The 20841-nt window shown below is 37.9% G+C and overlaps 1 protein-coding gene across 13 annotated transcripts in view, besides 1 other annotated feature; it reads left to right on the plus strand.

Annotated features, from left to right (window-relative positions):
• The window catches only part of TTC6 (tetratricopeptide repeat domain 6), a 247089-nt gene that overhangs the window by 54642 nt on the left and 171606 nt on the right, over positions 1-20841 (plus strand). The window contains exon 1 of one of the 13 annotated variants that reach the window (XM_017021256.2): positions 17833-19771. The exons of the other annotated variants lie outside the window; for them this stretch is intronic. The gene's annotated coding sequence lies outside the window, so the exon portion shown is untranslated. Of the gene's footprint in view, positions 1-17832; positions 19772-20841 lie in introns of those variants that run through there. 13 annotated transcript variants of the gene reach the window in all.
• Positions 4574-5773: an enhancer, noted in NCBI's record as "MED14-independent group 3 enhancer chr14:38124049-38125248 (GRCh37/hg19 assembly coordinates)". NCBI's record gives its function as "activates an origin of replication core promoter dependent on BRD2, BRD4, P300/CBP and CDK7 cofactors, and independent of MED14, by STARR-seq in HCT116 cells {active_cell/tissue: HCT116}" and the evidence as "EXISTENCE:reporter gene assay evidence [ECO:0000049][PMID:35650434]".

The following is a 20841-nucleotide window of genomic DNA, read 5'->3' on the forward strand; positions in this document are numbered from 1 at the left end:
GGTGAGTGAAGCATTTGCCCCCAAACCCTGCATTCAGCTGTGTTTTGAATTCTTTTGTTTCATTTTTTGTAATTTTTGTTTCCTCCTCCTCATTAGGCTGACAGTTGGCTCTGTTTTGCAGTCAGTATTTCAGTTTGCTGTAAGTACCCCTTCTCTCACAGCTCTCATCCTAATATCTTATTCTATTCTGCCCTAGGCTTAGAAACTAGATAAATAAGCTTGGCTACATTGTTTGTAAAGTGAAAGTAAATAGCCTCCAAGGGAGGGCCTCAAAGCTTTCCTATGGGAAAGTGTGTGAGCTTCCTCTGCACTGGCCTTTGCTAACATCTCTTTTGCCTCTAAAGCCTTTTTTGCTTACATCCTGCTTCTTGTCTCTGCTAGATCTGTGAGGTCAGGTCGTTGGATGACTGCACACTGGATAGGTGAATAATAACAGCTTGCTTTTTTTTCTTATAAATTGACTCAGAGATACTGTAAAAATATATTTTTGCATTTGAATAATCCGTATTCTTAGCATGGCGCTATTAACTGGATCCTTTGCAAATCAGAATAAAAAATAACAGCCGTAGAACCACAGAATACCTTTGGGCAATTTGGTTACTTACAATGCAAACTATAACGCTGACCTTGGGGGCTTTTGAACCACAGCTGTCAGTTTAAACAAAACTCCAAACCTAATTAAACATTTGTTGGATGGGATGCTAGTTTGAGAACTGGTTGGGCAGCTTTTAAAACTTAATGATGCAGTTCTTCACCAGAAAACATATAGAAGTATTAATACTTGGTACATATATGATTTAAGGCTAACTATAAGGACTTCATTTCATTACTTTTTAGAAAATGGAGAAGAATTTCGTGCACACAGATTAATTGTAGTGTTTATGAATTTTCTTTACTTAGTTGTTACATTGTAAAATTGAGGTGAAGCTGTTTTCCCATACCCCTCTCTGCCCCTCCCTTCCCTGCTCCTTTTCTTTTTCTAATTCTTCTCTGTCAACACAATTCATACATTGTTCTTAGATTCCTGTCATTATCCATTTGAATATTTAAATAACCATAGTCAGGCTTTTTAACTTTCACTTGGCTCTTAGAAATTGAATATATGCACTGTTTATGTTATATATATATATATATATATATATATATATATATATATTTTTTTTTTTTTTTTTTTTTTTTTTTTCCATCCATGATTCATTTTTGGGTCATTAATGAAAACAATGAATTTTCCTTTCATAAATATTGTCAAGTACCTTCAAGCTGCCACATATTAGAGATATTTAATCTCCCATATGTACATTTTAATGTATGAAAATAAAAGGAACATTTCTGCACCTAAGTTGTTTAATGTGTCTCAAGTACAGAGGGTGCCAGGCACTGTGGTGCACACCTGTAGTCCCAGCTACTTGGGAGGCTTGAGGCGGGCGGATGCTTGAGGCCAGGAGTTTGAGGCTGCAGTGTGCTGTGATTGCTCCTGTGAGTAGCCACTGCACTTCAGCCCTGGCAACATAGCAAGACCCTGACTCTAAATATAAAAAAAAGTATAGCGGGCACAAATGGGGCGAAGCCAGGGTGGGATGCAGAGTCTAGAGGGAGATGAAGCTGGAGAGGCAGGCAGTGGTCAACATGTGGCCATGGAAAATAGTTTAGGTTTGATTCTGATGGCACTGGGCTGCCATTAGAGGGTTTGAAGCAGGTCAGTGATGTGATACAACTAAAGTCTTCAACAGATCATTCTGGAGACAGTGCTAACATGGACTGGTGGGCAAAAGAGTGAGAAGCCGAAGCCTTAATCCAGAAGGAAATGAAATATGTCTGAATTCAGGCAGGGCAGTAAGGCTGGAGAGCAGGGCATGGTTAAACAGGACAGCAAGTACTCAGGTGATGGACTCAGCGTTAGGTGGTTGAAATGACAGTAAACTATTAGATTGAACCATATGAAATTGCTGTTTTTATAGGTAAAAAATGATCAGATCAGCAATTTTATATGGTTCACCTTAATCCATTGCACAGGTTGAGGAGCGATGGTGAACACCCGATCAGAGAATAATTTACAGTAAGACTGGCTGTGATAGAAAGAAATTGGACTACAGCTGAAAGAGGTTAAATAGGGATTTTCTTTTAAATGAATGTTTATATGAGGAGAGGAATGATCTAGCAGAGAGAGAGAGACGGAAGATGCAAGAAGAAATAGATTTAATTTTTGTTGTTGCTGTTATTATTTTAGTGCTTTATTTTTGTTATATTTTAACTTTTATTTTGATCAAAGTAATACATGAACATAGTTTTAAAAAATCATATAGTATGACTAGGCTTATTGAAGCAGTTCCTCGTCAAACCTTTTTACACCTCTCATTTGTACTCCCTAAAGACAACAACTTCCCAGCCTTTTAGTTACTTCATCTTATAAATGCCTTTATATTCTAAATCATATCTTAATGTTACTAGTTTCTGACTTCCCCGCCTCCATTAAGAGAAGATTTGTTGATTCCTATTATGGAATATAATGATTTATTGCTTTGACTAGCACCCACCCCTACCCATGGCACATGCACTTTCCTAGCTTCCCAACATAGCTAATTATAATTTTTGATGTCTGCAATATTATATTTAGGTAGATGCCACAGGTAACATTTCCTTTGTCAAGTAGCTGCTTTTTCCTATACAGTTCATGATTGCAAGGTTTATTTTTTTCACGAAATAACTTAATTTTTCTATGTGTACATCACTAAGTTATCCCTAAACTCTTTATACACATTTAAATGTCTTCTTAAAATATTCAGACACATCAGGTAATCTCTCCTATTCTTTTTTTTGAGACATTCCTCTTGGAGCCCTTTGATCTGGTATAATCAGGATTAATGGCCCTCTGGGCTTGCTACTTAGCAGTGGCTCCGGCCTTTGCCTTCATCTGTTGATTGGATCCCATATCTTCCCCTTTCTTAATTTACTAACTCTACCAACAAAGGATACATGGGAAATATATATGACATGAAATGATGTGGCTCCTCTTTCATTTATTTGCGATGGATCCTGAGTGGTCCTTTCATTCCAACATCCTTCATTTCTGGGAAATTTCCTTTTAAAATATTTTCCCCTTTGTTTTCTCAATTCTCACTTTCTGTAACTTCTATTATTTGGATGTTGGGGGTCTGGACTGATTGTCTTATTTTTATATGTCTCTCCTATTTTCTTTTTTGTTCCCTCCTTTTCTGAGAGGATGTTTTCAATTTTAGCTTCTTACTTTGCATCAAAGTATTAATTCCTGCTAGCATGTTTCATGTTTAACACTTGCTGTCTTCTGCTATGGTCGGGGAGAGATGTTACTGGACTGTGTGGAGGTGGATCTAGGGAGGCTGTTTTCAGTCCACTTGCACTATCATTTTTGGAGTTAGGTGCCTCCAATTCCTAAATCTTTCTGAGGTCTTATGATATGACTTGTTTTGCTTCTGGGCTTTCATTTTAGAAAATGTAGTTACATTTCTTAGAGAGTTGTTGATAAAATAATAAGAAAATATTTACAAGACATTCTCTTGTCAACTTATTCATATTTGTTGTTGTTTTTAAGGTACACCTTTTTTATTTATTTATACACTGGCAACATACTACATGCATTATAATAGTCGGTCACAAGAATAAATAACCATCTTGTTTAATACATTTTGAGGTTCTTACTGTCTATCGAGTCATGTCCAAAGTAAACTTCCTTTTATATATTTGTCCCCAATTAGAAGAGTGTTTATTTAAAGCAGTGTCTTCTTATAGTTAAAGCTTGTCTAAGAAAATTGTTTCTATAGATGCTTAATATAGTTTGTATGTTTGTTCATGCCCAAATCTCATACTGAAATGTAATCCCCAATACTGAAGGTGGGGCCTGTTGTGAGGGGACTGGATCATGGGGATGGTTTTCTCATGAATGATTTAGCACCACCCTGCTTGGTACTGTCTTTGAGATAGCGAGTGAGTTATTGTGAGATCTGGTCATTTAAAAGTGAGCAGTTTGTAACTCAAAGGATAAGTGCTTGAGGGGATGGATACCCCATTTTCCGTGATGTGGTTGTTTCACATTGCCCCATAAATATATACACTTATGTACCCACAAAAAATTTAAAAATAATGAAAAAAAATTAAAAGTATGTAGCACCCACCCCCTCACTCTCTTGCTCCTACTTTTGGAATATGGCATGGCTACTCCCCCTTTGCCTTCTGCCATGATTGGAAGCTTCCTGAAGCCTCCCCAGAAGCAGATGCCGCTATGCTTCCTGTACAGCCTGCAGAACCGTGAGCCAATTAAACTTCTTTTCTTATAAATGACCCAGTCTCAGGTATTTCTTTATAGCAATGTGAGAAAGGACTAATACAATGCTTTTTAGAAATCCTTTCTTTATAGAAAATATATTAAACGTAGCCTTAAGAAAATAGAAGAACTGACAGAATTATCACTCAGAGGGTAAGCAGCTCAGGGATAAATTTTTCTCCTTTTTAATTTAATCTCATGAATTTAAGAGAAAATATATAGTTGATATCCAGACAAAATTCAAATTATTTTACATAATAGCACGCCCAGAATATGGTCAAGTCAGGTATTTGAATCTTTGAAAACTGTGGTTTTCTAATGCACAAGGAATGATGTTAGGTTTCCTAATCTATTTATGTTTATCTGAAGATTATACTTTCCTGTTTATCAATTTGTTCCTTCCCTTATTTCTAAATTGATACTAAGTGCATGATTTTAGTACCCTGGGAATGGGTTTGGAAATACTGCGAGGGAGTTATTTTGGCTGCTCTTCGCATGTGCATTATAGTTACTGCCATTGACAGCTCTCATTACCCCAGCTGTCAAACTACTTGCTTGTCCAGTGTAGCAGGCCCAGACATTTTGACACAAAGACTGGAAAAGCAAGAATCATGGCCAAATACCACCCTTGAATTATCATACTCTAAAGATAAATATTTACGATAAAACATAAATTGATAAATATATTTATCTAAATAGAGAAGCTGATCTAGAAGAGCAAAAACAAAAAACCATAAAATTCTAGGAAAAAAATGGATAGTTTCTCATATTATTCTATTTTTAGTTTAACTTTCTGCATTTTATTTCCAGCAGTTTGAGAATAAAACTTCGTGTTTTAATTTCTGTATTGCTACTTTGCTACCATGCTATTAATGAGTCATGACATCTTGAATTTATGGGGTACAAGCAGCCAAGCAGTCTTAACCTTTTTCCCAGAACTTCCTTTGTGTTAGTTTGAAGTACCTTTCTTTCTCTTGAACTTTCTGCCATGTCTATGATAAAGGTATGTGACTTCCCTGTTCTAGATTTTTATTTTCCTAACAGCTCCTCCCAGGCTTACTCAGCATGACTCAGCAGCATGAAAGGACCCCAAATAATGTGCACAGGGACCAACAGAGGACAATGAAATAAGACTGTGAATTCCCAAGAAATACGATGACATTCAGGAACAATTATTTGATACCACTACCCAGTATTTCATTCATGGACATTAATAGGGGTCTTTGTTACAAAATCAGTCTTCTTTGTAGTCCACAATTGAAGGCTACACATCTTTAGACTTTTAACCATCTCTCTTGACTTCAGCTTTTTTTTTTTTTTAATTTGTAAAGTTGGAATAATAGCAACTACCACATGGGTTTGTTGTGAGGACTAAGTGAAATAATGATTGTAAGGTGTTCATCAATGCCTGGCACACTGTAAGTGTTCAATAATAGCTCTCATCTCCACAGTACCTTCTTTTGCTAATCTCTTGTTAGTTATCTAGCCTTTGGAGCTGGTTAGGATTTTTTTGGAAACAAACAAATGTCACTTAGAGCAATGTCTTGCAAATTAAATGTGTGAACACTTTGATTGGAGTGAAACCATCTTGAATCAAAAATCCAGGTGTAGCAGTGAAGAAGGAAGACAAATTTTCTTTTGTGAATGGCAAGTGGTCTCTGAAGTCAATTCCAAAAGGCATCCCAAAAACTACAGACATAAGTATAGAGCTTCCAAGATAGACTCCTTTAAAGTAGTTGGCAACCTTGAGGATGCAAAGAATTGTTGCTCTGTGTTAACTCACCCATAAAACATCTTTGAACAGCTACTATGTACCAGATATTGTTGTAAAGTCCCTGTTTTATCATCTGGTGAGAGAGACAGGCTTCAAACTCTAAACAATTTTGTAAGCTGCCTTGTGCTGTGAGAGTCTATGGGTAGTTAACCTAGTCAGGTGTGTGTGTGTGCGTGTGTGTGTGTGTGTGTGTGTGTGTGCGTGTGTGTGTGTATTGATGGGCATTTGACTTGAGAGGATTGCCTTTACTTCAGTGTGAAGAATGAATAGCTGTGGTGGAAGGAGGTTAGAAGTCTGGGTTATAATGGTTAAGAGGCTCCAGTGGGGATTCCAGAGACTTTCAGGCAGCAAATTTAAGGGTTTAGTTAAATTAGATTTAGAAGGTGAGAGAAAGGAGAGACATCAAGGATGGCTCCTCCTTTTTGGCATTTTCAGCTGGCTCCTTGGAATTCCAGGGATGGGGAACACCAGGCGAGAAGTACCTTCTTGAAATCTGCAAGGAACTAGGGGTGGTTGATCCTAAAAGCACATTCTAGTAGCCTAAATGTATAACAACCTAAATGCCAAATAGAAGTACAAGTAATGTGGCCAGGAGTGGTGGCTCACGCCTGTAATCCTGGCATTTTGGGAGGCCGAGGCGGGTGGATCACCTGAGGTCAGGCGTTCTAGACCAGCCTGGCCAACATGGCGAAACCCCGTCTCTATTAAAAATACTAAAAAATTAGCCAGGCGTAGTGGCGCATACCGGTAGCCCCAGCTACTCGGCAGGCTGAGGCAGGAGAACCGCTTGAATCCGGGAGGCGGAGGTTGCAGTGAGTCGCGATTGCGCAGTTGTACTCCAGCCTGGGCAACATGAGCGAAACTCTGTCTCAAAAAAAAAAAAAAAAAAAAAAAAAAATACAAGTAATGTGTTGTGGGATCAATAAATTCTGAGTGAGTGTTTAAGGAGTGGCATTTTAATAAAAAATAGTTTTCAAAAGGTGTGGAAGTTTTGGAAGCTTTCTATTTAAAAAAAAAAAAAAAAGACCATTTCCATCAAATAAAACAAAAAAATCTTTCTTATCTTCCTGTGCTGCGTGGGGAACTACCCAGGAGAGTGTTTGGGAAGTGAATTCCTGAGTGGGAGAAAAGCATAAACGAGGACGCCGAGCCAAGAAAGGGCCTGGTGTCTCTGGGGGACTGAATATCCTAATGTGAATGGTGTGAACAATCTACAAAGAAAAATGAAAAGCTTATTTGTTGGCTTTATGAATTGAAAATTATTTAATACACTATTATTAAGTAGATTTCTTTCAAAGATGATAATGTAGTAAAATAGTATTTTAATAAAAAATCAAGTTAAAGTAGAGAGGAAGAGCAGAGTGGTTGCTTAATTCTTAGGCCTAAATTCTAAATGAAATTAATTTTGGAGGAAGATGCCAATTTATCTTGTTTTTCAAACAACCTGGTATGAAACAGAGTGATAAAATCAGCATAGCCCATGTAACTCTATTACATAAAGGAGAGAGTTTGATTTTTTTTGTATGTACCAACCGTTAAAAACATTTTTGTCTGACCTTGCAGGATGAAAAATTCATTCCTTTGGTTCATTTTAGAGATGCATTTGTTCCAAAGAGAGGTACTTTTTTATTATTTGTCATTTACATCAAGGATGGCCAGACTTTTTCTGTAAAGAGCTAAATAGTAAATAGTTTAAGCTTTGTTGAACCAGGAGACAAAATCAAGGATAGTATTTAGGCACTTATATAACAAGAGAGAAAATAATTTCCACAAATTTTTAATTGATGAAATTCAAAACATTATTAATGGATATGGAAATTTAAATTTCATGTAATTATTCTCACTTATGAAATATTCTTCTTTTTAAAAAACACCATTAAAATATAAAAGAACTGTTCTTAGCTTATAGGCCAAACAAAAACAGGTGGTGAGCCAGATTTGGTCTGTGGGCCCTTCCTTTGCCAACACTTATTTACATTACACTGTGAAAGAAAGAGTCTGTTAGTCATTTTATGGGATCAGGGTTTTCTCTTTGGAACAAAGGAGAGACCATGAGGACATTGGCCATTGTTACTTGAAAGTGTGTGTGAGGTGGTGGGGGCCTGGTGTGGGCATTTTGGGTTTGTCTGATCTTTTGGTTTTCTACTTTTAGAAAAGCCCTGGGTAGCTGGGAGCTGAATAATGTACACACATGGATGTAGTGTATGGAATGACAGACAGTGGAGACTTGGCAGGGTGAGAGGGTTGGCAGGAAATGGAGGATAAGAAATTACTTAATGAGTACATTGGGTTATTTGGGTGAAAGATACCTTAAAAGCCTTGACTTCTACACAATCTATGCACATAGCAAAAACTACATTTACACACCATACATTTAAACAAGAAAGAAAAGAAAAGTCCTGGGTAAGTAAAATGTCTGAAAAAGCCTTTAAAAATTTTTTTATTTTAGGTTCAGGGGTGCGTATGCAGGTTCATTATACAGATAAACTCACGTCATGGGGATTTGTTGTACAGATTATTTCATCACCCAGGTACTAAGCCTAGTACTCAATAGTTATTTTTTTCTGCTCCTCTCCCTCCTCCCACCCTTCACCCTCAAGTAGGCCCCAGTATCTGTTGCTCCCTTGTGTCCATGAGTTCCTTCCTTTGTGTAATTTAGCTCCAACTTACAAGTGAGAATATGTGGTATTTGTTTTTCTGTTCCTGTATTCGTTTGCTAAGGATAATGGCCTCCAGCTCCATCCATGCTCCCACAAAAGACATGATCTTATTATTTTTTTTTATGGCTGCATAGTATTTCATGGTATATACGTACCACATTTTCTTTATTCACTCTACCATTGATGGACATTTAGGTTGATTCCATGTATTTGCTATTGTTAATAGTGCTGTAATGGACATTTGTGTGCATGTATCTTCATGGTAGAATGATTTATATTCCTCTGGGTATGTAACAACCTAAATGGGATTGCTGGGTTGAATGGTAGTTCTGTTTTTAGCTCTTTGAGGAATTGCCACACTGCTTTCCACAATAGTTGAACTAATTTACACTCCTGCCAACAGTGTATATGTGTTCCTTTTTCTCCACAACCTCTCCAGCATCTGTTATTTTTTCGACTTTTTTAATAATAGCCATTCTGACTGATATGAGATGGTATCTCGTTGTCGTTTTATTTTATTTTATTTTATTTTATTTTAATTTTGAGATGGAGTTTCACTCTTGTTGCCCAGGCTGGAGTGCAATGGCACAATCTTGGCTCACTGCAACCTCCCAGGTTCAAGCGATTCTCCTGCCCAGCCTCCCGAACAACTGGGATTACAGGCACATGCTACCATGTCCAGCTAATTTTTGTATTTTTAGTAGATACAGGGTTTCTCCATGTGGGTCAGGCTGGTCTCGAACTCCTGACCTCAGGTGATCCGCCCACCTTGGCCTCCCAAAGTGTTGGGATTACGGATGTGACCCACCGCGCTTGGCCTTCGTTGTGGTTTTGATTTGCGTTTCTCTAATGGTTAGTAAATTTTTTTTCATAAGCTCATTGGCTGCATCTGTGTCTTCTTTTGAGAAGTGTCTGTTCATGTCATTTGCCCACTTTTTAATAGAGCCGTTTGCTTTTTCTTGGAAATTTGTTTAAGTTCCTTATAGATGCTACATATTAGACCTTTGCCAGATGCATAGTTTGCAAAAATTTTCTCTCATTCGGTAGGTTGTCTGTTCACTCTGTTTATAATTTCCTTTGCTGTGTAGAAGCTCTTAGGTTTAATTAGATCTTATTTGTCAATTTTTGTTTTGGCTGCAATTACTTTTGGCATTGTCATCATGAAATCTTTGGCCGTTCCTATGTCTAGGATGGTATTGCCTAGGTTGTCTTCCAGGGTTTTTTTTTTAATTTTAATTTTTAGTTCTGGGATACGTGTGCAGGATGTGCAGGTTTGTTATGTAGGTAAACGTGTGCCACAGTGGTTTGCTGCACCTGTCAACCCATCACTTAGGTATTAAGCCCATCATGCATTAGTTATTTTTCCTAATGCTCTCCCCCACACCTCACCCCTGGACAGGCCCCAGTGTGTGTTGTTCCCCTCTCTGTGTCCATGTGTTCTTATTGTTCAGCTTCCACTTACAACTGAGAATATGTGGTATATTTGGTTTTCTATTACTGCGTTAGTTTGCTGAGGATAATGGCTTCCAGCCTGGCTGCGTAGTATTCCATGGTGTATATGTACCACATTTTCTTTATCCAGTCCATCACTGATGAGCATTTAGATTGATTCCATGTCTTTGCTATTGTGGACAGTGCTGCAGTGAACATTTGTGTGCATGTACCTTTGTAATAGAATGATTTATATTGCTTTGGGTATATACCTCATAGTGGGATTGCTGGGTCAAATGGTATTTCTGGTTCTAGATCTTTGAGGAATTGCCACACTGTTCAATGGTTGAACTAATTTACACTCCCACCAATGGTGTAAAACGTTCCCATTTCTCCACAGCTGTGCCAGAATCTGTTGTTTCTTGACTTTTTAATACTGGCCGTTCTGACTGGCATGAGATGGTATCTTATTGTGGTTTTGATTTGCATTTCTCTAATGATCAGTGATGTTGAGCCTTTTTCATATGTTTGCTGGCTACATGAATGTCTTCTTTTAAGAAATGTCTGTTCATGTCCTTTTCCCACTTTTTAATAGGGTTGTTTGTTTTTTTCTTGTAAATTTGTTTGAGTTCCTTTGTAGATTCTGGATATTAAACCTTTGTTGGATAGGTAGATTGCAGAAATTTTCTCCCACTCTGTAGGTTGCCTGTTCACTCTGATGACAGTTTCTTTTGCTGTGCATAAGCTCTTTAGTTTAATTAGATCCCGTTTGTCAATTTTTGCTTTTGTTGCAATTGCTTTTCATGTCTTTGCCATACAATCTTTGCCCATGCCTATGTCCTGAATGGTATTGCCTAGATTCTCTTCTAGGATCTTTATAGTTTGGGATTTTACATTTAAATCTTTAATCCATCCAAGGTTTGAGGAAGGGGTCCAGTTTCAATTTTCTGCAAATGGATAGCCAGTTCTCCTAGCACCATTTATTGAATAGGGAATCCTTTTCTCATTGCTTGTTTTTGTAAGGTTTGTTGAAGATTAGATGCTTGTAGCTGTACTATCTTAATTCTGAGTTCTCTATTCTGTTCCATTGGTCTATGTGTCTGTTTTTGTACCAGTACCATGCTGTTTTGGTTATTGCAGCCTTATAGTATAGTTTGAAGTCTGGTAGCAAGATGCCTCCAGCTTTGTTCTTTTCTCTTAGAATTGTCTTGGCTATATGGGCTCTTTTTTGGTTCCATATGAACTTTAAAATAGTTTTTTTCTAATTCTGTGAAGAATTTCAATGGTAGTTTAATGGGAATAGCATTAAATCTATAAATTACTTTGGGCAGTATGACCATTTTCACGATATTGATTCTTCTTATGAGCATGGAATATTTTTCCATTTGCTTGTGTCCTCTCTGGTTTCCTTAAGCAGTGGTTTGTAGTTCTCCTTGAAGAGGCCCTTCACTTCCCTTGTTAGCTGTATTCCTAGGTATTTTATTCTCTTTGTAGCAATTGTGAATGGGAGTTCATTCATGATTTGGCTCTCCACTTGTGTGTTGTTGGTGTACAGGAATGCTAGCAATTTTTGCGCACTGATTTTGCTGAAGTTGCTTATCGGCTTAAGAAGCTTTTGGGCTTAGAAGATGGGGTTTTCTAGATATAGGATCATGTCATCTGCAAACAAAGACAATTTGACATCCTCCCTTCCTATTTAAATATGCTTTATTTTGTTCTTTTGCCTGATTGCCCTGGCCAGAACTTCCAATACTATGTTAAATAGGAGTGGTGAGAGAGGGCATCCTTGTCTTGTGCCAGTTTTCAAAGGAAATGCTCCCAGCTTTGCCCATTCAGTATGATATTGGCTGTGGGTTTATCATAAATGGCTTTTATTATTTTGAGATATGTTCCTTCAATACTTTGTTTATTGAGAGTTTTAAACATGAAGATATGTTGACTTTTATTTAAGGCCTTTTCTGCGTCTATTGAGATAATCACATGGTTTTTGTCTTTAGATCTGTTTATATGATGAATTACGTTTATTGATTTGCGTATGTTGAACCAGCCTTGCATCCTGGGACTGAAGCCAACTTGATCGTGGTCTTCTAGGGTTTTTATAGTTTTGGATTTTACATTTAAGTCTTTACTCTGTCTTGAATTGATTTTTGTATATGGTGAAAGGAAGGGGTCCAGCTTCAGTCTTCTCCATATGGCTAGCCAGTTCTCCCAGCACCATTTATTGAATAGGGAGTCCTTTCCCCATCGCTTCTTGTTGTTAGCTTTGTTGAAGATCAGATGGTTGTAGGTGTGTGGCCATATTTCTGGGCTCTCTATTCTGTTTCATTAGTCTATGTGCCTGTTTTTGTATCAGTACTATGCAGTTTTGTTTACTGTAGCCCTGTAGTATAGTTTGAAGTTGGGTAGCAACTTGCTTAGGATTGCCTTGGCTATTTGGGCTCTTTTTTGGTTCCGTGTGGATTTTAAAATAGTTTTTCCCTAGTTCTGTGAAGAATGTCATTAATAGTTTGATAGTCATACCATTGAATCTGCAAATTGTTTTGGGCAGTATGGCCATTTTAATGATATTGATTTTTTTTTTATCCATGAGCATGGAATGTTTTTCCGTTTGTTTTTGTCATCTCTGATTTCTTTGAGCAATGTTTTGTAATTCTCATTGTAGAGCTCTTTCACCTCCCTGGTTAGCTGTATTCCTGTATTCCTAGGCATTTTATTTTTTTTGTGGTAACGGTGAATGGGATTGCATTCCTGGCTTATTTCTTGGCATGACTGTTGTTGGTGATTTTTGTACATTCCTGGTGAATTTTGTGCGTTGATTGTGTATCCTGAAACTTTGCTGAAGTTGTCAGCTGAAGGAGCTTTTGGATTGAGATTATGGGTTTTTCTAGATATACTGAAAAAGTCTTTATTTCACCTTCATTTTTGAAATGTATACAAAATTAAATGACTGTGGAAACTCAAATGATGTTTTTGAGAATATATCTGTGCTTTCACTCTAAAATTTGGGTCTTTTGCCTTACAAAAATGTAATCAATCATTGTATTGCACAGTTACATTTTTTTAAACATTATTTATTATGATAAGTTATCAAGATTTGTGAGTTAATTTGAAGTGTTCATCCCCAATTATCCTACTCATACTATCAAATTCAAACTTTTTTACCTTATTAGTTATGCCAGTTACAAAGATTTTGAGAAAATATTGGTGTTGTGTCACAGTTGGCTGTCTTTGAAAAATCAAACACTGCTATGATGAAAGTTAGTATGAGGTTCATGTGATGAGGAGGTCATGTTCCCAAATCAGCACTTACTTTAAAAAACCCTGTTGTCTCAGACCAAAAGCTTCTTACATTGATAAGCAACTTCAGCAAATTCTCAGGACACAAAATCAGTGTGCAAAAGTTGCTAGCATTCTTGTACACCAACAACAGGCAAGCAGAGAGCCAAATAATGAATGAACTCCCATTCACAATTGCTACAGAAAGAATAAATACCTAGGACTATAGCTAATAAGGGAAGTGAAGGACCTCTTCAAGGAGAACTATAAACCACTGCTCAAAGAAATCAGAGATGACCCAAACAAATGGAGAAACATTTCTTGCTCATGGATAGGAAGAATCAATATTGTGAAAATGGCCATACTGCCCAAAGTAATTTATAGATTTAATGCTATTCCCATTAAACTACCATTGACATTCTTCACAGAATTAGAAAAAGCTATTTTAAAGCTCATGTGGAACAAAAAAAGAGCCCATGTAGCCAAGGCAATCCTAAGTGAAAAGAATAAGGCTGGAGGCATCACACTGCCCAATTTCAAACTATACTAAAGGCTACAGTAACCACAACAGCATGGTACTGGTACAAGAACAGACACATAGATGAATAGAACAGAATAGAGAGCTCAGAAATGAGACGTCGCACCTACAACCATCAGATCTTTGACAAAGCTGACAACAAGAAGCAATGGAGAAAAGAATCCCTATTTAATAAATGGCACCAGGAGAAGTGGTTATCCATATGTAGAAAATTGAAACTGGACCCTTTCCTCACACCATATACAAAAATTAACTCAAGATGGATTAAAGACTTAAATGTAAAACCCCAAACTACAAAGACCCTAGAAGAAAATCTAGGCAGTATCATCAGGATAGAGGTATGGGCAAAGATTTCAAGATGAAAATGCCAAAAGCAATTGCAACAAAAGCAAACATTGACAAATGGGATCTAATTAAACTAAACAGCTATTCCACAGCAAAAGAAACTATAATCAGAGTGAACAGACAACCTACAAAATTGGGGAAAATTTTTGCAATCTATCCATCTGACAAAAGTCCAATATCCAGAGCTTATCAGGAACTTAAATCTACAAGAAAAAAACAAACAACCCCATTAAAAAGTGGGTAAAGGACATGAGCAGACATTTCTCAAAAGAAGACATACTTGTGGCCAGCAAACTTATGGAAAAGAGCTCAACCTTACTGATTATTAGAGAAATGAAAATCAGAACCACAATGAGATATCATCTCATGCCAGTTAGAATGGCTATTATTAAAAAGTCAAAAAACAACAGTTGCTGGAGAGGTTGTGGAGAAAAAGCAATACTTTTACACTGTTGGTGGGAGTATAAATTAGTTCAACCATTGTGGAAGACAGTGTGGCAATTCCTCAAATAGCTTGAGGCAGAAATACCATTTGACCCAGCAATCCCATTACGGGGTATATACCCAAAAGAATATAAATCATTCTACCATAAAGATACATGCATGCAAATGTTCATTGCAGCACTATTCACAATAGCAAAGACATGGAATCAACCTAAATGCCCACCAATGATAGAATGAATAAAGGAAATGTGGTATATATATACCATGGAATACTATGCAGCCATAAAAAGAATGAGATCATCTCCTTTGCAGGGACATGGATGGAGTTGAAAGCCTTTATCCTCAGCAAACTAATGCAGGAACAGAAAACCAAACACCACATGTTGTCACTTATAAGTGGGAGCTGAATGATGAGAACACATGGACACATTGAGGGAGAACAACACACACTGGAGCCAGTCAGTGGGTATGGCAGGAGGGAGAGCACCAGGAAGAACAGCTAATGGATGCTGGGCTTAATACCTAGGTGATGAGATGATCTGTGCAACGAACCACCGTGGCACGTTTACCTGTATAACAAACCTGCACGTCCTGCACATGTACCCATGAACTTAAAATAAAAGTTGAAGGAAAAAAATGATGAACTGGCAAAATTAACCTTGAGCATCTTGAAGAAAAAGGGCTATGTGAGAAGAACACAAGCAAGTTAAGCAGGGCCAAGCTGAGCTTGTGATGAACTGTCTGCTTAATATTTAGGGACTGTACCTCTCCTTAAGACCAGAATCACACTCTTTGTGATGAGATACTCAGACTCCAAGGCTGCACCAGGAACTGAGAGTGACCTGAAAGCAGCTAAATCAAGCTTGTCCTCTCATGCACACACCAGAGCCTTGATTTAGCATTACTTCTTTCCCCTCTTCTACCTCCAAAATACAGAGTTTACCCTATGGGAGCTAAATGAATATAGGATCACTAAACAACTTAACACATGAAATGATTCTAAGTGTAAATTTGATTTTAGATCATCCATCTATATTATACTGCAACTTGCAAAAGCAGTGATTTCTAGTGTTTCAGAGAGTCCTTGGGTCCTGTGGAGGGGTGAGGGCAGGAATGAGTGGGTGGGCTGTGGTCCTTCCAGCACCCTCCATTGGCCTTCATGGCTGTGGTCCTTCCAGCACCCTCCATCAGCCTTCACCTGACTGCAACATTCCCCATCGATCTGCTTTATACACTGGGCCTCCAAGTATGAGTTTGTTTGACAGATAGGTCCTACCATTTAAAAAAGTTGAAAGTGGCCAGGCTCAGTGGCTTACACTGTAATCCCGGCACTCTGGGTGGCTGAAGTGCGAGGATCACCTGAGCCCAGAAATTTGAGACCAGCCTGAGCAACATAGTGAGGCCCTGTCTCAAAAAAAAAAAAAAAAGATGAAAGCCATGGATGTAAAGTATAGTTTCAATATTCTTAATTTTCCAGTGTCATAGCAGTTTCCTGGAGCGATGCAGGTAGAGTGCCTGGTTAGGCCACCGAGGAGATTTCTTGCTTCTCTCAGAGGGTGGCTCTTTTGTCAAACTGCCCATTAACTCCCTTAGGAGAGAAAGGGATGGGAAGTAAGGAAAGATACCCTCAAAACTTGTTTGCTCAATCTGTGAAATTTACCCCCTTTTTGTAATTTATTACACATATCCTTTGAGGGGATAGGTGGGGGAAAGACAGTTACCCAACCCCTGTCCTGGTAAGGTCCACAGCAATTCAGGGCTCTCAGGGTTCCAAAGTTACACTGTGGGCTGGGACCAGGGATGCATTTTGACTTTGGTGGGCCTCAAGCACTTTTGCCTTTGGGGGCACTTCTTACCATAAAAATACTGAAAAAAAATTTTATGACTATGGTGGTATAAAAGTAAATATTATCCAGGCTGATTTTATTATTATATGTTCATTATTACTATATCTATTTTTCTTCTGATTTTTTATTTTTATTTCTTTAACTCATTCTCTATTATTGGACATTTATTGTATCTAATTTTTTACTTTTATAAACCATGCTGTTTTCTTTTGATTTTAAAATAATTTAAAAATAAAACATTTTTGTGGGTCCTTAAAATATCACGGGCCCTAGGCACTGTGCCTACCGAGTCTACTGGGTAAGTCAGCCCTGCTTGGGACAGGGAGATTAGATTGGGGGAGAAGGACTCCTCTTCATGTCTTAGTGGGACAGTTTTAAGTTAATCAATTATTTCTTATTTCACTTATACTACCCACGTTCTCATTTTCTGGTTCCCCACCCCCTGCCCAGCACATTAATACTATGAATCGGATGTGAATGTCATTGGGGTGGAAATGGAGACAGATCAGAGAGATGGAATCGCACCCTTTCCCAGAAGACCAAGGTTTTCGTATGGGGCTCTGCTCATCAAGCTTAACTTCTTCATTCATTGGGATGTTTTCCCAAGTAACTCTCCATTACTCATGCAAATGAGATTTTGAAAAGTCTGTCCTGTCAGACATTGTCAGACATGCACCAAACATGTTTGAATCCCATTTAGACTCAAGACAGGGCTCCCTATATTTAAAAAACGTTAGGGTTATTTTTATTAATCTTTTCTTTTGATCTGTAAGAATACCTTAAAAGATGAAGAATGAGAATAAGGGGTGTTTATAAGTAGATATTGTTATTTCCACTGTCTGTGCCTTAAGTTAGGCTCTTACCAGCTTTCACTTGGATCCTTACAGTGTCTTCACGACCAACTTTCAGTTTTTACCTCCACTAAAGTTTATTCACCAGACACTAGTATTAATTTATTTTAAAATTTGGCTGGGGCCGGGCATGGTGGTTCACACCTGTAATCCCAGCACTTTGGGAGGCTGAGCGGGTGGATCATGAGGTCAGGAGTTCAAGACCAGCCTGGCCAACATAGTGAAACCCCATCTCTACTAAAAATACAAAAATTAGCCGGGCATGATGGTACACACCTGTAGTCCCAGCTACTTGGGAGGCTGAGGCAGGAGAATCGCTTGAATCTGGGAGGTAGAGGTTGCAGTGAGCTGAGATCATGCCACTGCACACCAGCCTGGGCGACAGTGTGAGACTTCATCTAAAAAAAAAAAAATTTGGCTGGATACCTCCTGACTGCAGGATATAGTCGAATTCCAAACCGTAGATAGCATAGAGGGTTCTTCATAATTTGACCTTACTAGCATTATTTTTTTCTTTTTCCTTCTAATCTATTCACCAGTTGTATCAGTCAGTTAATGCTATGTAACAAACTCTCAAAACTAAGGGCTTAGTACCAAACAATATTACTATAGCTCTCACCTTTGTGGATTGGCTGGAGTCAGCTAATCTAGGCTGGGTTCTATTCTGGCTGGAGACTTTAGCTTGGTCAGCTCTGTTCCATGTGGCACATTTAGACCAGAGACCTCCATGCAATTTTATCCCCCTGGAACTAGTGGATTGACTAGGCATGCACTTCTCATAGTAACAGAAGAAGTTCAAAAGAGCAACCTGCAAGCTCTTGAGTCCTAGGGTAGGAATTGGCGCATCGTTACTTTTGGCCCATTTTACTGGCTAAAGCAATAAAATGGATAAATCCAGAGACTCATGGATACATCCAGAGTCAGGAGGCAGAAAAATAAACTTTGCCTCTTGATGGAAAAAATCTGCAAAGTCACATGGCAAAAGGTGTGGACAGAGTGAGAGGTGAAAAATTGAGGCTGTTAATACAAAATTTACCACACCAGCAATCCACTGAATTTTAAAATTTCCTGAACATACCATGTCTGTTTATGAAAGGGATGATAAGGATTCATTCCAGGTCATTGAGTCATGAGGAAGCTTGGAAAGTTTATTATTGCTTAAAGACTGTCGTGATGTCTCTTGCTTCTTGGTTCTGTGACTTCTTTGGTCCTTCCCTCACTGATTCTGTTAATCCAGACAGCCTTTCCATACCACCTACATGATAAGAGTCTGTTTCTGATGCTTCCAACTGAAAACCTTGACTGAATAGCTTGATAACTTGAATAATCTCATTGCTTCTGCCCAAAGATTGTCTTTCTTGCAAAGTGAGAGAAGAGAAATGAAAGAAGTGAATAATGTGGTAAAAGTTTCCACACCTTCATATAAATGAAATTAATGGAGTGATTTCCTTTTTGAATTAGAATCTGGCTGTGAGCAAAACCATGTTAGAGAACCAAATAAGCACACAACCATGGGGCTCATCACTACCCCTTGGAAGTGCATCTGGGGATGGGGAGTGAGGGAGCCAATGTGAAGATGCTTTCCATCCTAACCCTGTTTGAGTACAGTAAGTGGCACGTGTGCACCTGCCCCAGGGGAAGAGAAAGGATCTCAAAATCAATCTAAGGAGTGTTTCTCCACTTGCAGTTCTCTTTGTATCCACTGGACACATTTAGTTTCTACTTCTTTCTTAAGAACTATTTTAAGGAAGTGCTGCCTTCTATTCTAAATATAATATTCCCCTTCCTTGCCCGAACTCCTTGGTACAAGTTTACTTTGTGCCTCTCTTACGACATGTATTATTGTTATTTATCTACACATCAATATATATGTTCATCTAGGCTGTGACTACCTTAGTGATCATAATAGACTTTTGTCTTTCTATTTTTAGTAGGATGGATCAAATGAATGCTGAATTTGTTTTATAAGACCATAATCTGGAGGCAAGATTATTTATCTTTTGCTTTTTCATCCTTCACATCACCTCATATAATTCCTTGGACTTAGAAGTCACTCTATAAATAAATATTTGTTGAATGATGTAAACAAAAATATGCTTACTCTTGAGGCTCTGAATTTTATTATTGAAGTATTTATTTATGTTATTAAATCCTCTGTGAGATTAGGAGGCTTAAGAGAATATTCTTATGGATTCTTCTTAAAATTTATCATTTCCTCTCCCAGATCCATACGAGAAAAATTTGGAGGAGATGGAATTTAGTATGGAGAAGAGATGACTGATGGCTGATTATTAATGCTCTTTCACAGGTGATATGAATCAATCACTCTTCATCTTAATTAGGGAAGGTATATGTATTCCCTAAAATATAAACATAGGTTAGATGTTATTAAATACAGATTTCTGTTTGTTAGGGGACTTACAGAGTTTCTCTCATTGGCTTTGTTTAATAATAGGACAAAGAACTATGTTCTTGTTGTGGGCTTATGACAAGTCTTGCCTACAGAAAGCTCTTTAATTTTCTGTAATTCCATAGTTTTCACAAATACTGTAGCAATGACACATGGAATGTGTCTTTCAAAGTTACTGACAATATAGTGAAATGTTACGTGATTAAATACATTTCGTGATATTTGGGATAATTATGTGGGACAAAGGAGGGCATATTAACTATTACACAGTATGTTTTGTTAACACATGTACTTTGCATTTTTCCTAAGGATCTAGCACAAACTACCTCACTTTTTTTTTTTTTTTTTTTTTAGTCTCCCTCTGTTGTCGAGGCTGGAGTGCAGTGGCGTAATCTTGGCTCACTGCAACCTCCACCTCCCAGGTTCAAGCAATTCTGGTGCCTCAGCCTTCCGAGTAGCTGGGATTACAGGCATCCACCATCATGCCCGGCTAATTTTTGTATTTTTAGTAGAGATGGGGTTTCACCATGTTGGCCAGGCTGGTCTGGAACCCCTGACCTAGAGTGATCTGCCTGCCTCAGCCTCCCAAAGTGCTGGGATTACAGGTGTGAGCCACTGTGCTGAGCCAAACTACCTCACTTTTTAATGGGTTTGTAAAGCAATATGTATCTTTTAAAAAGGCTAAGAAAAATTATGCAATAATAGGTAATAATGAAGAAACACATACCTAAATAATAAAAATTATGAGATTTTGAGATTTTAGGTTCTTTAGGAAATGCCATGAAATATCTGAAGAGCTAGAGTTTTAGAGCCTTTTTAAAGTTATTTATTTCTGTGCAACAAATCACCCCAAAATTTAGCAGCTTAAAACAATGAACATTTAGTTCACACAGTTTTTATGGGTAGTGAATCTAGGAGCAACTTATCTATGTAATTCTAGCCTGTGGGCTTGTGTCAAGATCTTGTCT

This window comes from Homo sapiens, chromosome 14 (assembly GCF_000001405.40).
Source record: "Homo sapiens chromosome 14, GRCh38.p14 Primary Assembly".
Taxonomy (NCBI): domain Eukaryota; kingdom Metazoa; phylum Chordata; class Mammalia; order Primates; family Hominidae; genus Homo; species Homo sapiens.